The 14,225-nt window shown below is 41.0% G+C and overlaps 1 protein-coding gene and 1 non-coding gene across 6 annotated transcripts in view; both read left to right on the top strand.

Annotated features, from left to right (window-relative positions):
* The first annotated feature begins 25 nt into the window (after positions 1 to 25).
* Positions 26 to 14,225, top strand: part of VPS39 (VPS39 subunit of HOPS complex) — a 49,604-nt gene continuing 35,404 nt past the window's right edge. For all 5 annotated transcript variants that reach the window (NM_015289.5, XM_011521404.3, NM_001301138.3 and 2 more), the window contains exons 1-2: positions 26 to 249; positions 8,369 to 8,434. In NM_015289.5, the coding sequence (NP_056104.2) occupies positions 177 to 249; positions 8,369 to 8,434 (139 nt within the window). In that variant the 5' untranslated portion in view covers positions 26 to 176. The remainder of the gene's footprint in view (positions 250 to 8,368; positions 8,435 to 14,225) is intronic.
* MIR627 (microRNA 627) lies at positions 8,664 to 8,760 on the top strand. The gene has a single exon (NR_030357.1). It is a non-coding gene; the product is annotated as a microRNA 627 (primary transcript).

The raw sequence follows: 14,225 nt of genomic DNA, 5'->3' as shown, positions 1-14,225 counted from the left end.
GGCGGGCCTAACTAGCAGGAAGTCCGGGGTTGACGATGGCTGTGTTGTTGAAGGGCCTGTAGCCGGGGGGTTCCTGGCCGGATCCCGGTCTACCCTTAGCCCAGACTCGTTCCGGACCCCAGCCCGGCCCGGAACACTCTGGGCGAGACGGCGGTGGCAACTCTCCCCTTGCCGCCATGCACGACGCTTTCGAGCCAGTGCCGATCCTAGAAAAGCTGCCTCTGCAAATCGACTGTCTGGCTGCCTGGGGTGAGCCGAGGGGCCGCGGGGCCGAGGCGGAGTCAGCACAGGAGCGGTCCGGATCTTTTCTGAGGCCGGGGAAGTGGACAGGCGTCCATCCGTGTGGGCTTCGGTTGGATGCTACACGAGAGGGGCTTAGGATGAGAGAAGGCAGAGAGATGACCACCGGCTATAGACATCGATGTCTGTGGGGCTACTTGGGTGATCCCAGTGATCCAGTCATTTAGGGGAGTTCCCCTTGCTTTTGCTCTCTGTGCAGAGTGGGAGGATGAGCTTTCCTTTTTAGTTGTGCTCAGCTTTGGCCCATTTTGATTCCCACGAAGACTTCATTTTAGAGGGTCAAAGCAGTAAGAAGTTCTCAGCCTGCCAGGGGCTTGAAGTTGTCCAGATGTTTGTGTTGTTTTCTAGATGAAAGTCAACCCTGGTTTTGGGGGCATTGAACAAGTTAACACCATATGCTTTTTTTTCCCCTTAGTGATCATTCGTTCATTTCTCATTCCTGTAGGGAACTCATGTAGTTAGCTAACCTTTGAATCTAGCCAAGCGGTTGATTACCTTATATCCAAAGTGTCCAAGTTACCTAACTGTAGGCGGAAGAGTTTCCAGACTGTCTTGAAACCTAACCCATAAAAACTAGCATAGTCCTTTTGGGATTGACTAGTGCAGAAGGCCGGGACAGACATCTCTTGTGTGCTCTGAAATACAAATGAAGGTTTCAGGGATAACGGTGAACATTGTGCTCTTATCCGTGAGTGACTGGTTTGATACCAGCCGCCAAAGACCAAGGAAATCATTTCTAACTTTCCTCTTAATGTTTAGGTCCTAGAAATCAAGGACCATAAAAAGATGATTCAGATCCCTTAATCAGATCTTATACTGAGCTAGATAGGTAACCATGATGGGCCTTATGGAATCTTGGTGGTGTCTGATACCATGTGCGTCAGCTGTTCACAGTGTCACCGAGTCATCCTTGCAGAGTTCTTGATGACTTCTTCTGTAGGGTTCTTTCACGAAGAATTTTCATGTTAATGTGCACCCTTCCTCCTTTAGCAGCTCTGGGTCTCTTTAAAATCATACCTCCACAGTAAGCAGTTCTAGTCCTTTGGGTTAAGAGGAGAATCCTACTTCCTCCAGACATCTCAAGAAAACCAATTTCTGTCATTAAATGCTCTCATTAAACATTTAAATAGAGGAGGAGAAAAAGTTTTTAAATGAAAGACCTGACACTGCATGAAAGGATTAATTCCCCCATTGCTTCATCAGATATACTTATTAGGTGGCTACACGGGCCATTCTCTTTGCTTGGGACAGTAATACAATGATGAATAAGAAACAGTGCCTGTGCTCCTAGGACACACACTGGGGGACAAATACACGTGAACAGATTATAATACTAGAGACATATGCTGCCTATTATTGCAACATGGATGAGGGGGTACCCAACTCAGCTAAGGACATATGTTTCTGAAAGGGATTAATGCAGCTGTGGCTACACTTGACTTAGCTCGTCAGAATCCTTGACTCTGATCTCCTGTTGGACCATTAGCACATAGTGCTCCTAGACTCTCACCAACTCCACTTTGTCACAGTAAAGATTCCTTGCACCTGTGGTTTTCAGGAACACAGTTTTGAAACAATAGGTAGCTTTTGGCCTTCCTTGATCACCCACCGAACAGGAGAAATGCTCTTTGGTTCCTAAGGTGCTTAGGTACATATTAGGTTACAAGAGGCCATTAACTGCCTCCTGCTTCAAAAGTGCTTTATTTCCAGATTTGAGCAGCAGTAATTATTGCTCTTTCTAGTCATTACCCCTTTTTAACTACATTGTGCCTTTGGATGGAAAGTTCGTCCAGGAACTTCCAGAGGCAGGTCACACAGGGCCAAATAGTATTTGAGGTGTAAATGTCTTAGAGACAACATACTCTGTCTCCTGGGAAATAGAAATCAGGAGAGAACATGATGAGGATGATTTCTTTCTAAACTCCAAAGTTGTATAATCCTGCTGCCTTTTCAGCATCTTCATTTGGATGTCCAGTAGCATAGCCAAAACCGTTCTTGATTCCTCTCCCCTCAAACATGCCTGTCCTCCTGTATCTTACGTCTCAGCAAGTGGCATTTCTATTTACCTCTTTGACTAAAGCCAAAAGCTTTGGAATCGTTCTTGACTTCTTTCATTCTGTTTTACACTGTATCCCATCTATCAGCAAATCTTGTGTGTTCTACCCCTAGAATAAATCTGAAATCCAGTCATTTCTCTCTATCTTGATGATTACTACTCTTGAAGGCACCATCATCTGTCACCTGAATTACTGTAGTAGTCTTCTCATTGATCACCCTATATTTGCCAGTGTGCCATTTTCAGTTTTTTGTCTACCAGGTAGAGTGAAACTTTGAAAACCTAAATCTGATTCCATCCTCTACTCAAAACCCTCTCATGGTATCACATCACAACTAGAATAAGTTCCAAAGTTTTCACCCTGTCTGGCAACATCTGACATGATCAGGCCCTGATTTCTTCCCTGTCTTCTGTGTACTTACCTCTCACTCCTTTCTGGTACCAGTCCCACACAGCCTTCTTTGTTCCATCAATGCACAAAGCACATACCCACCTCAGGGCCTTTACATTTGCTGTTTCCTTGGCCTGGCACTCACTTGCCTTTGTATATATGGTTCATTCCTCATTTCACTCAGTTCTCTGCTGAAATGTCACCCAAATCAGCAAAACCTTCCCTGTGTATCCTATATAAAAGAGATTGCCACATCCACCAATGTGCTGTTTTCTTAGCCTTATCTTCTAATCATGGGTCACCATCTACTGTTATTTTATATATTTAATTATTATTGCCTCTCTCACTCCACATTAGAATATAAGTTCCCTCAGGGCAGTATCTTTGTTTTCTGCATTGCTATATCTGCAGTACCTAAAACATTTCCTGACTCAATGGGTATTCATTAAATATATATTTAATGAATAATGTTAATATGAATAGTAATAGCTTGCAGTTGTTAAATGCTAATCTGTATTAGGCTTTTATAAAATAAGACTCCATTTTACAGAAGAAAGACCTAAGGCTTAGAAAATTTAAGAAATTTTTCCAAGGTCACATGTCCTGTAAATCATGTCTGCTTCTAGAGCCTGGTTCTCAAACTTGAATGTATATTCAAAGCCTGTAAAAAATGCAGACTTCACATGTATATATGAGTATCTGTATGTCTATATATACATACATACCTATATTTTCCAGAGAAACAATGGAAAGATAAGTCAAAAATTACTAAAATGATGCCCATAGCAGAAGGGAGAAGAGAGGATAAAATGGACAATGATAGAAACTAGACTTTTCGTCGTTTTAGCTTTGGAACTACATGAATGTTTCATAAAAACAAATAAAATTTAATTTAATTTTATTTTATTTTATTTTATTTCATTATTATTTTTTGAGACTGAGTCTCGCTCTGTCGCCCAGGCTGAAGTGCAGTGGTGCAATCTCAGCTCACTGCAACCTCTGCCTCCCAGGTACAAGCCACTGTCGTGCCTCAGCCTCCCGAGTAGTTAGGATTACTGCCACCCACCACCATACCTGGCTTATTTTTGTAGTTTTAGTAGAGACGGGGTTTCGTCATGTTGGCCAGGCTGGTCTCAAACGCCTGACCTGAGGTGATCCGCCCACCTCGGCCTCCCAAAGTGCTGGGATTACAGGCGTGAGCCACTTTGCCCAGCCAACAAGATTAAATTTTAAAATGTAAATTTCAGGGTACCACTTCAAAGCCATTGAATCTGAATCTCCATGTGCAGGGCCCAGGAATGTGCATTTTTAATAAGTCCAGGTGATTCTAATGCAGCTAATTGGGGGCTTATGCCCAGATGAGAAGTACTGTTATTTGCCATGTTACCCAACGAAGGGAAGTGACTACTATCTTACTTATCTTTGTGGTCCCTGCAGTGGCCAGCATTGGGCCAGAAATGGAATTTATTACATGAAGTTGGACTGCATTGCACTGTTGGAAGGAGCTCCATTAGGGTAATTATGAGCAATAGGGCCTAGCCCTCCTTCTCAGGAGGAATTAAGTCCAACCTTGTGGCTCAGGGTTAGGCCGTCAGGAGTTTTTTAGGGCTGATACTGCTTTGCTTATGTGTGCGTTTTGTGTTTGCTTAGTATGTCTCACTTTCTGTTGTGTGTTACTGTATTGAGTCTCAGAAGGCACTGTCCATCCCATGCTGCGCGTGCTCTGCAGGCTTGTCATCCTCTGTGTTGTGCATGCACAGCTTTGTTAAATAACGTGTCCTAGAGAGTGGAGGACCCAACATGGGACAGGTCCTCTGGCTAATGGCACATGTAATCAATCAGGTTGATTTAAAAGTTTACAGAGAATTTAATCCATCGGATTGATTCCCTTTTATGACCAGTAGAATAGACATTTTATTTTTTTAATTAATTTTTTTTTTGGAGGCAGAATTTCACACTTGTCACCCAGGCTGGAGTGCAATGGCGCACAATCTCCACTCACTGCAACCTCCGCCGCCAGTGTTCAAGTGGTTCTCCTGTCTCAGCCTCCCTAGTACCTGGGATTACAGGTGCTCACCAGCACACCTGGCTAATTTTTTTTTTTTTTTTGAGACAGAGTCCTGCCCCGTCACCCAGGCTGGAGTGCAGTGGTACGATCTCAGCTCACTGCAGCCTCTCCCTCCGGGGTTCATGCAGTTCTCTTGCCTCAGTCTCCTGAGTAGCTGGGATTACAGGCACACACACCACCATGCCTGGCTAATTTTTTTTGTATTTTTAGTAGAGATGGGTTTCCACTGTGTTGGCCAGACTGGTCTTGAACTCCTGACCTCAGGTGATCTGCCCGCCTTGGCCTTCCAAAGTGCTGGGATTACAGGCATGAGCCAACCACACTCGGCCTAATTTTTATATTTTTTAGTAGAGACGGGGTTTCACCATGTTGGCCAGGCTAGTCTCAAACTCCTGACCTCCAGTGATTCGCCCACTTCGGCCTCCGTGCCCGGCCCCTAGACATTTGACTTTTTAAAATGTTTTGTCATGTCTTAGTTTGGGTTCACAAGAAAAAAAAAAAGTAAATTAAAAAATCTATTGGCAAGAAACATTTCAATAAAAATGGAAAATAGACTCTTGAATGTCATGTTTAGGAATTTGACTTCATATTTTGGTAGTGTAGCTTCACAGGATTTTTTAAGCCCCAGTGTGACAGCATCAGAGATCTGCTCTAAGATAACTGACAGCAAATGCGAGAGAATGCATGGAGTGAATGAGACCAGTTGAAGGTGTCACAGGGGTCCCCAGAGAGACTCTATAGGAGGAGGCTGTCATGAGGTACCATTACAGGTAGAATTGATAGACCCTGGCCGACTTGGGAGGAAGCTGAGGCTATTAAAAAAGATAAAGAAAAGCAGGAACTGGCAGGGATTTGGGGGACAGAGTGGAGAGAGAAGGATGGGGAAGATGATGAACATTATGTTGGCCTTTTGTTTTGGTTGTAGATTTTTATGTATGTTATGAGTGGATTTTTAAAAAATTTCCACTTCATTTTATTTATATCTGAAATATCAGTGGGTGGCCTAAAAATCAACTTTAATATTGCTAAATTGCTTGATATCATGATATCTATAAAGTTCTAAATATAGTATCTTTTACAAAACAAATATTGCAAAATGAATTCTTTTATTTTTTCATGTTCTGCTGCAGCATAAATCTCCAGCCTTCATTAGAGCTGCTGTTATTTCTGATTTCAACATTTTTTTTGTGTGTGACCTGCCTTTCCTTTAAGACCCCAAATCAAAGAAAATAGAATCACTCTGTTTTTCTGGATGACTAAGAACATCATCCTGGAGAAATACTATTGATCCTTTGGATAAGGAATGTAGGTGCTGACCTGTTTTTATAAATATAACTACTGCCATTCAGACAACCTTTGGCTGACACCCATTTTTTTTGACATGGGTGCCTTAGTAAGTACATCACAGCATGTGGTTGGGAATCAAGACAAATTGGGGTTGGGATCCCAACTCTGCTGCTTGCCACATGTGTGACTCTGGAAAAGTTATATATTCCCTAGGCCTCAACTTCCTCATCTATAAAATGGGGATTTGAAAAAAGGACTTACTTCAAGGGATAGTTGTGAGGATTAGTGAAATAACAGATGCGTTTAGCATTTCCTGGAACACAATACATGCTCAATAAAAGTTATCTATTTGTACCATTATCCAAGATTTTATTTTACAGAGGTCAAGAATCAAGAGAGTTTATGAAAGGAATGAGTGACCTTTATGTTATCAAAAAGCTAAGGAAGTATCTGTACATGCTTACCTTCCTTGAATGATGTAATATGGGTCTGTCAGGGTAATTATTTAAACTCTTTCTGAGCCTCTTTTTACCTAGACCAGTGCCTCCCAAAATGTGGTCCTTGAACCACCAGCATCAGCATCATCTGGGAAGTTGTTAGAAATGAAAATTCCTGGGCCTACTTTTAAACCTACTAAATCAGATGCTCCGGGGTAGAGCCTAGCATTCTGTATTTTAACAAACTCTCAAATAATTGTGATACACTAAAGTTTAAGAACCACTAGCCTAGACCATCTTTTAAAATGTACAATTTGGCTGGGCACAGTCGCTCACCCCTGTAATCCCAACACTTTGGGAAGCTGAAGGGGCATTGCTTGCGGTCAAGAGTTGGAGACCAGATTGGGCAATATTGTGAGCCCTCATCTCTATAAACATTTTTTAAAAAATAGCTGAACGTGGTGGTGCATGCCTGTATTTCTCGCCACTCAGGAGGCTGAGGTGGGAGGATCACTTGAGCTAGGGAGGTGGAGGCTGCAATGAGCCATGATCACACCACTGCTCTCTAGCCTGGGCAACAGAGTAGAACCCTATCTTAAAAAAATAAAAGTTAAAAAAAAGTGTACAATTAAATGGTTTTTAGTACATTCACAGAGTTATGCAACTATCAGCACAATAAATTTTAGAACATATTCATCACTTTCAGAAGAAACTCAGTACCCATTAGTATTTACTTTCTATTTTCCCCCAAGCCCACCAGCCCTGGGCAACCGCTAATCTTTCTACCTCTGTGGATTTGCCTACTCTGGACATTTCATATAAATGGAATCACGTGGCCTTTTGTCTGGCTTCCTTCAGTTAGCATCATGTTTTTAGGTTCATCTGTGTTGTAGCATATATCCATACTTCCTTTCTTTTCATTGTTAGCTAATATTCCGTTATATAGACATGCCACATTTTGTTTATCCGTTCATCAGTTGGTGGACATTTGGTTTGTTTCCATCTTTTAGCTATTACAGATAATACTGCTGTGAACATTTGTGTACAAGTTTTTGTGTAGAATATGTTTTCATTTCTGTTGGGTGTGTAACCAGGAGTGGAATTGCTGGGTCCCAGGGTAACTCTGTTTAGCCTTTTGAGGAGCTGCTAGACTTTTCCAAAGTGGCTCTCCCATTTTACATTCCTGCCAGCAGTGTATGAGGATTCTAATTTCTTTATATTCTCATCAACACTTGTTATTAAATATTTTCTACTAGACTATCTTTTGAGATAATGAATTCTGTAAGCTTATTATGTTACGTCATTTATTTTCCTGAAAGTAAAAGCATTTAAAGGATGCCTCTTAGCTATTATTGCTGAGGTTGGATACCTGGTTTCACATTTGTACTTCCATTTTGTGATTTTATAAACTTTCATCATATTCTTTTTAGCAGAATTTAAAAATATATATCTGAAGATATATATCTTAATAAAAGTATATATAACAAAAAATAAAAATCATAATAATTTAATCTTAAAAATACAAAGCCCTTCTATCTTTTTTATTAGTTTAACATTAAAACAATTGAGCCAGGACATTTTTATCCTCTGATATGTCTAGCCTAGTAATTATTCAATAAATGTGTTTTTAAATGGTTGATTTTCAAACATGAGTATAAACATTTCTTAGCTTTGCAAAACACCTCCTATCAAAAGCAACTCATTTTCTTGACACATTGATTTCTGATTACAAGCCCCAGCTAAAAAAATAGGGTTATACTCAAGCTGATTGACCTTTCTCAAAGCTGGTTTTTTTTTGTTTTTGTTTTTGTTTTGTTTTGTTTTTCCAGAGGAATGGCTTCTTGTGGGAACCAAACAAGGACATCTTCTTCTCTATAGGATTCGGAAGGACGTTGGTAAGTGCACATTGCTCATGCAAAAAAATAAGTTTTAATAGTCAGCTAGTATACAACTGTGAAATCAGTTATTCCTGGACCATTAAAAGAGAGATTGAAGGTTAGAGGGAGCACGGTGGGAAAATGGGGAGAAGACTTGAGAATGCCTAGGGTTTTTCTCCTCCAAATTGTATTGCCCTACCTGCATTTGGGAGGTGAGGATGAATTGCTGGTTTACTTATTACTGAATTACTTATTACTGGTAGTGAGTCTCTAAGAAAAGAGGAGGTGGTTGTTTTCCTCCTCTTTTCTTTGAGACTCACTACCAATAATAAGAAATACTACTAATGGGCATAAGCTTCCTGTATATATGGTGTGGTGGTAGGAAAAAAAATTAGGCAACATCGATTTAAAATATCTTGTTGGCTTATGAGGGGTAGAACAAGAAGAGAGGACCAGGGTTTGCCTTCATGTGCACTTCCCCCTGGCTGCGTGACCGTGAGCAAGTTCTTTCCAACATCAGTTTTCTATAAACTCTCTGCCCCACAAAGTTGTTGGGGTGGATGCAATAATAGGCTCGAAGAAACTGTGAAAACTAAAGTTCTAATCAAATGTGACTGTCAGTAATGTAGAGTAATAACTAAAGTATTTGAAATGTATTCTGTTAAAGAGTGTTTTTTATTGGGGCAGAAAGTACCTCACTGCCCTTCCTTGTTTTCGTTTCTGTGCTCTCTTTATGGAGAATAGATGTGTTTAGGTATTATGCCCTGGAGCCACTCTACAGAAATCTGCAGTTAATTTCATACCCTTCAATATAATATATATTTCTCTGGTAAATAGCTTAAGAGATAGCTTAAGATAAATAGAGCTCTCTTGTGGAACCTGGAGCAAGGGTAACACTGGGGGAAAAAGCACCTTACTAGTGCACTCGGGAAAGAGAAGATATCCTGGTCAGTTTCTGCAGCAGGGTAAGAAAAGAAACCAGAGAACAAAATAGATAATTTATTTCATTTCTAAGTTTTTCAACTGTCCTCTAAATCAGGGTCAGCAAACTTGTTCTGAAAAGGTCCAAAGAATAAATATTTTAGGCTTTGCAGTGTTGTTACTACTTAACTCTGCCTTTGTAACATGAAAGCAGCTGTAGGCAATATGTAATGAATAGGTATGGCTATGTTCCAATAAAACTTTATTTACAAAAACATGCAAAGGCCTCAGTTAGGCCCTGGAGCAGTACATTGTTGATCTTTGTTTTAATGTTTTAAATTTTTAATTCTCATGGCCTGTGAAGTGGCTCATGCCTATAATCCCAGCACTTTGGGAGACTGAAGTAGGAGGAATGATTGAGGCCAGGAGTTCGAGGCCAGCCTGGGCAACATGGCAACACCCTGTCTACAAAAAATTAGCTGGATGTGGTGGCACGTGCTTATAATTCCAGCTGCTCTGGAGGCTGAGGTGAGAGGATCGCTTGAGCCCAGGAGGTTGAGGCTGCAGTGAGCTATGATCACACCATTGCTCTCCAGCCTCAGCAACAGACTTTGTCTCAAAAAAAAATTTCTTTTTTTAGTTCTCGGAGCCAAAATATTTGCGTTCTGTGATATTTGCCTGGTCTATAATTTTAAAATTAAGCTCACATTTTAATTTTAAAGCTAAAAATGCTTATCTTATTCAGCATTCAACAATTGTTTTTTGACTCTCTGCTTTGCTTTCACATGTAAGTGGTGATCAGAAATTGAAAACAAGACTTTATAAATGAAGTCTCAACACAGTATAGACCTGAACTGGTAATATTAGTGTTAATCTGGCTTGGAACCCTGGTGGCGACTATTCCTTGCCCTATGATCATTTTATCATGTCACCTTTGACAAATTAGTTAATGTTCCTGGGCCTTGGTTTCGCCATAGGTAGATTAAATATAGACAATTAGGAAATCAAATTCTGATTTGAAACTTTTCTTCAAGAAATGCCATTTTTCCCTATACTCTTGGTGAACAGTTTAGTTCTGGCCCAGATCTGGCCTGATGTGGGCCAGAAATAGACCTGGGCCCGTGTGAATTAGTTCTAGGGTTAATTTGGTTTCCAGATTTGAGATATTTCAAGCCTAAATAGGTCTTTGGGTAGACTGTCTTTCTGAGGAAAGGGAGGGGATAATAGGGTCAAGAAAAGACTAGGGGTAGGGATCGTAGGCTCTGATCTGATCTGAGTCATTTCCCTGGAGCTCAGTTGAGCCAGTGACATTTTTATCCTCTGATATGTCTAGCCTAGTAATTATTCAATAAATGTGTTTTTAACTGGTTGATTCTAAAATATGAGTATAAACATTCCTCAATAGACATCTCTAGGCTTCATTCTGCTCCTTTATTTTTTGAGACAGGGTCTTGCTGTGTCGCCTAGGCTGGAGTGTAGTGGCGCTATCTTGGCTCACTGCAGCCTCAACCTCCTGGGTTCAAGCCATCCTCCCACCTCAGCCTCCCAGGTAGATGGGACCACAGGCACACACCACTATGCCCAACCCATTTTTGTATCTTTTTTTTTTTAGCATTACTTAGATTTTTTCTTTTTTTTTTTTTAGGTTTTTTTTTCCACTCTTTTTAATTATACTTTAAGTTCTAGGGTACAAGTGCACAACGTGCAGGTTTGTTACATATGTATACATGTGCCATGTTGGTGTGCTGCACCCATTAACTCGTCATTTACGTTAGGTATATCTCCTAATGCTTTCCCTCCCCCCTCCCCCCACCCCACGACAGGCCCCCAGTGTGTGATGTTCCCCTTCCTGTGTCCAAGTGTTCTCATTGTTCAATTCCCACCTATGAGTGAGAACATGCAGTGTTTGGTTTTTTTGTCCTTGCAATAGTTTGCTGAGAATGATGGTTTCCAGCTTCATCCATGTCCCTACAAAGGACATGAACTCATCCTTTTTTATGGCTGCATAGTATTCCATGGTGTATATGTGCCACATTTTCTTAATCCAGTCTATCATTGATGGACATTTGGGTTGGTTCCAAGTCTTTGCTCTTGTGAACAGTGCTGCATTAAACATACGTGTGCATGTGTCTTTATACTAGCATGATCTATAATCCTTTGGGTATATACTCAGTAATGGGATGGCTGGGTCAACTGGTATTTCTAGTTCTAGATCCTTGAGGAATTGCCACACTGTCTTCCACAATGGTTGAACTAGTTTACAGTCCCACCAACAGTGTAAAAGCGTTCCTGTTTCTCTACATCCTCTCCAGCACCTGTTGTTTCCTGACTTTTTAATGATCGCCATTCTAACTGGTGTGAGATGGTATCTCATTGTGGTTTTGATTTGCATTTCTCTGATGGCCAGTGATGATGATGATGAGCATTTTTTCATGTGTCTGTTGGCTGCATAAATGTCTTCTTTTGAGAAGTGTCTGTTCATATCCTTTGCCTACTTTTTGATGGGGTTGTTGGTTTTTTTCTTGTAAGTTTGATTTCTTTGTAGATTCTAGATATTAGCCCTTTGTCAGATGAGTAGATTGCAAAAATGTTCTCCCATTCTGTAGGTTGCCTGTTCACTCTGATGGTAGTTTCTTTTGCTGTGCAGAAGCTCTTTAGTTTAATTAGATCCCATTTGTCAATTTTGGCTTTTGTTGCCATTGCTTTTGGTGTTTTAGACATGAAGTCCTTGCCCATGCCTGTGTCCTGAATGGTATTGCCTAGGTTTTCTTCTAGGGTTTTTATGGTTTTAGGTCTAACATTTAAGTCTTTAATCCATCTTGAATTAATTTTTGTATAAGGTGTAAGGAAGGGATCCAGTTTCAGCTTTCTACATATGCCTAGCCAGTTTTCCGAGCACCATTTATTAAATAGGGAATCCTTTCCCCATTTCTTGTTTTTGTCAGGTTTGTCAAAGATCAGATGGTTGTAGATGTGTGGTATTATTTTTGAGGCCTCTGTTCTGTTCCATTTGTCTCTATCTCTGTTTTGGTTCCAGTACCATGCTGTTTTGGTTACTGTAGCCTTGTAGTATAGTTTGAAGTCAGGCAGCGTGACGCCTCCAGCTTTGTTCTTTTTGCTTAGGATCGACTTGGCAATGCAGGCTCTTTTTTGGTTTCATATGAACTTTAAAGTAGTTTTTTCCAATTCTGTGAAGACAGTCATTGGTAGCTTGATGAGGATGGCATTGAATCTCTAAATTACCTTGGGCAGTATGGCCATTTTCACAATATGATTCTTCCTATCCATGATCATGGAATGTTCTTCCATTTGTTTGTGTCCTCTTTTATTTCGTTGAGCAGTGGTTTGTAGTTCTCCTTGAAGAGGTTCTTCACATCCCTTGTAAGTTGGATTCCTAGGTATTTTATTCTCTTTGAAGCAATTGTGAATGGGAGTTCACTCATGATTTGGCTCTCTGTTTGTCTGTTATTGGTGTATAAGAATGCTTGTGGTTTTTGCACATTGATTTTGTATCCTGAGACTTTGCTGAAGTTGCTTATCAGCTTAAGGAGATTTTGGGCTGAGCCATTTTTGTATCTTTTGTAGTGATGGGGTTTCGCCAGATTGCCCAGGCTGGACTTGAATTCCTGGGCTCAAGTGATCTGCCCACCTCAGCCTCCCAAAGTTCCGGGACTACAGATGCGTGCCATCATGCCCAGTTAATTTTTGTACTATTTTAGAGACAGGGTTTCACCATGTTGGCCAGGCTGGTCTGGAATTCCTGACCTCAAGTGATCCGCCCGCCTCGACCTCCCAAAGTGCTGGGATTACAGGCATGAGCCACTGTGCCCAGCCCAGTCTACTCTTATTTTGAACTGAGAGGGCTTAGATTTGTTCATGTCTGAGGCCTTTACAACTCTAGGTTTATTTCAGTCATGCTGTCATCCTAGAGCAGTGTTCTGAAAATGTGGTCTCTAGACCCCTGGGGATCCTCAAGATCCTTTCAGAGGACCTACAAGGACAAAACCAAGTTTGCAGAAACACTAAAACATTTCGTTTTTTGTTTTTTTTTTTTTTCACTGTATTGACATTTACAATGATGGTGCAAAAGGAATGGTAATTAAAACTGGTTAGCACCTGAACACAAATCAGAACAGTAGTACCTAACTTCAAATAGAGATTTTTTTAAAAAAACGAAAAAAACAGTGGTACCAAGCTGTACTGATGGTCATTGTGTAATTCTCACCATGTGCTCACAGTGGGTTTTGTTTGTTTGTTTTTTTGAGATGGTCTCATTCTGTCACTCAGACTAGAGTGCAGTGGCGCAATCATGACTCACTGCAACCTATAACTCCTAGGCTCAGGCGATCCTCCCGCCTCAGCCTCTCAAGCAGCTAGGACTACCGGCACACACCAGCATGCCCAGATAGTTTTTTCACTTCTTGTAAAGATGAGTTGTCTCTTCTTGCCCAGGGTGGCCCCAAACTCCTTGCCTCAAGTGATGGGTTTTATTTATTTATTTTTTCTTTTCTTTTTTTTGAGACGGAATTTCACACTTGTCTTCTAAGCTGGAATGCAATGGCATAATCTCGGCTCACTGCAACCTCCCCCTCCCAGGTTCAAGCAATTCTCATGCCTCAGCCTCCTGAGTAACTGGGATTACAGGCGCCCACCACCATGCCTGGCTAATTTTTGTATTTTCAGTAGAGACAGGATTTCACCATATTGGCCAGTCTGGTCTTTAACTCCTGACCTCAGGTGATCTACACCTGGGAGGTTTCTCGGCCTCCCAAAGTGCTGGGATTACAGGCGTGAACCACCACACCTGGCCAGTTTGTTTTTGTTTTTGTTTTTTTTTAAAGCTAGTTTCACTTAAAAGTGTTCTTGGTTAGGCAGTACAAGTTATTTT

This window comes from Homo sapiens, chromosome 15, assembly GCF_000001405.40.
Source record: "Homo sapiens chromosome 15, GRCh38.p14 Primary Assembly".
NCBI classification, from domain to species: Eukaryota; Metazoa; Chordata; class Mammalia; order Primates; family Hominidae; genus Homo; species Homo sapiens.
The sequence above is the reverse complement of the archived record's forward strand: the minus strand, read 5'-3'. Positions and strand labels throughout refer to the sequence as shown.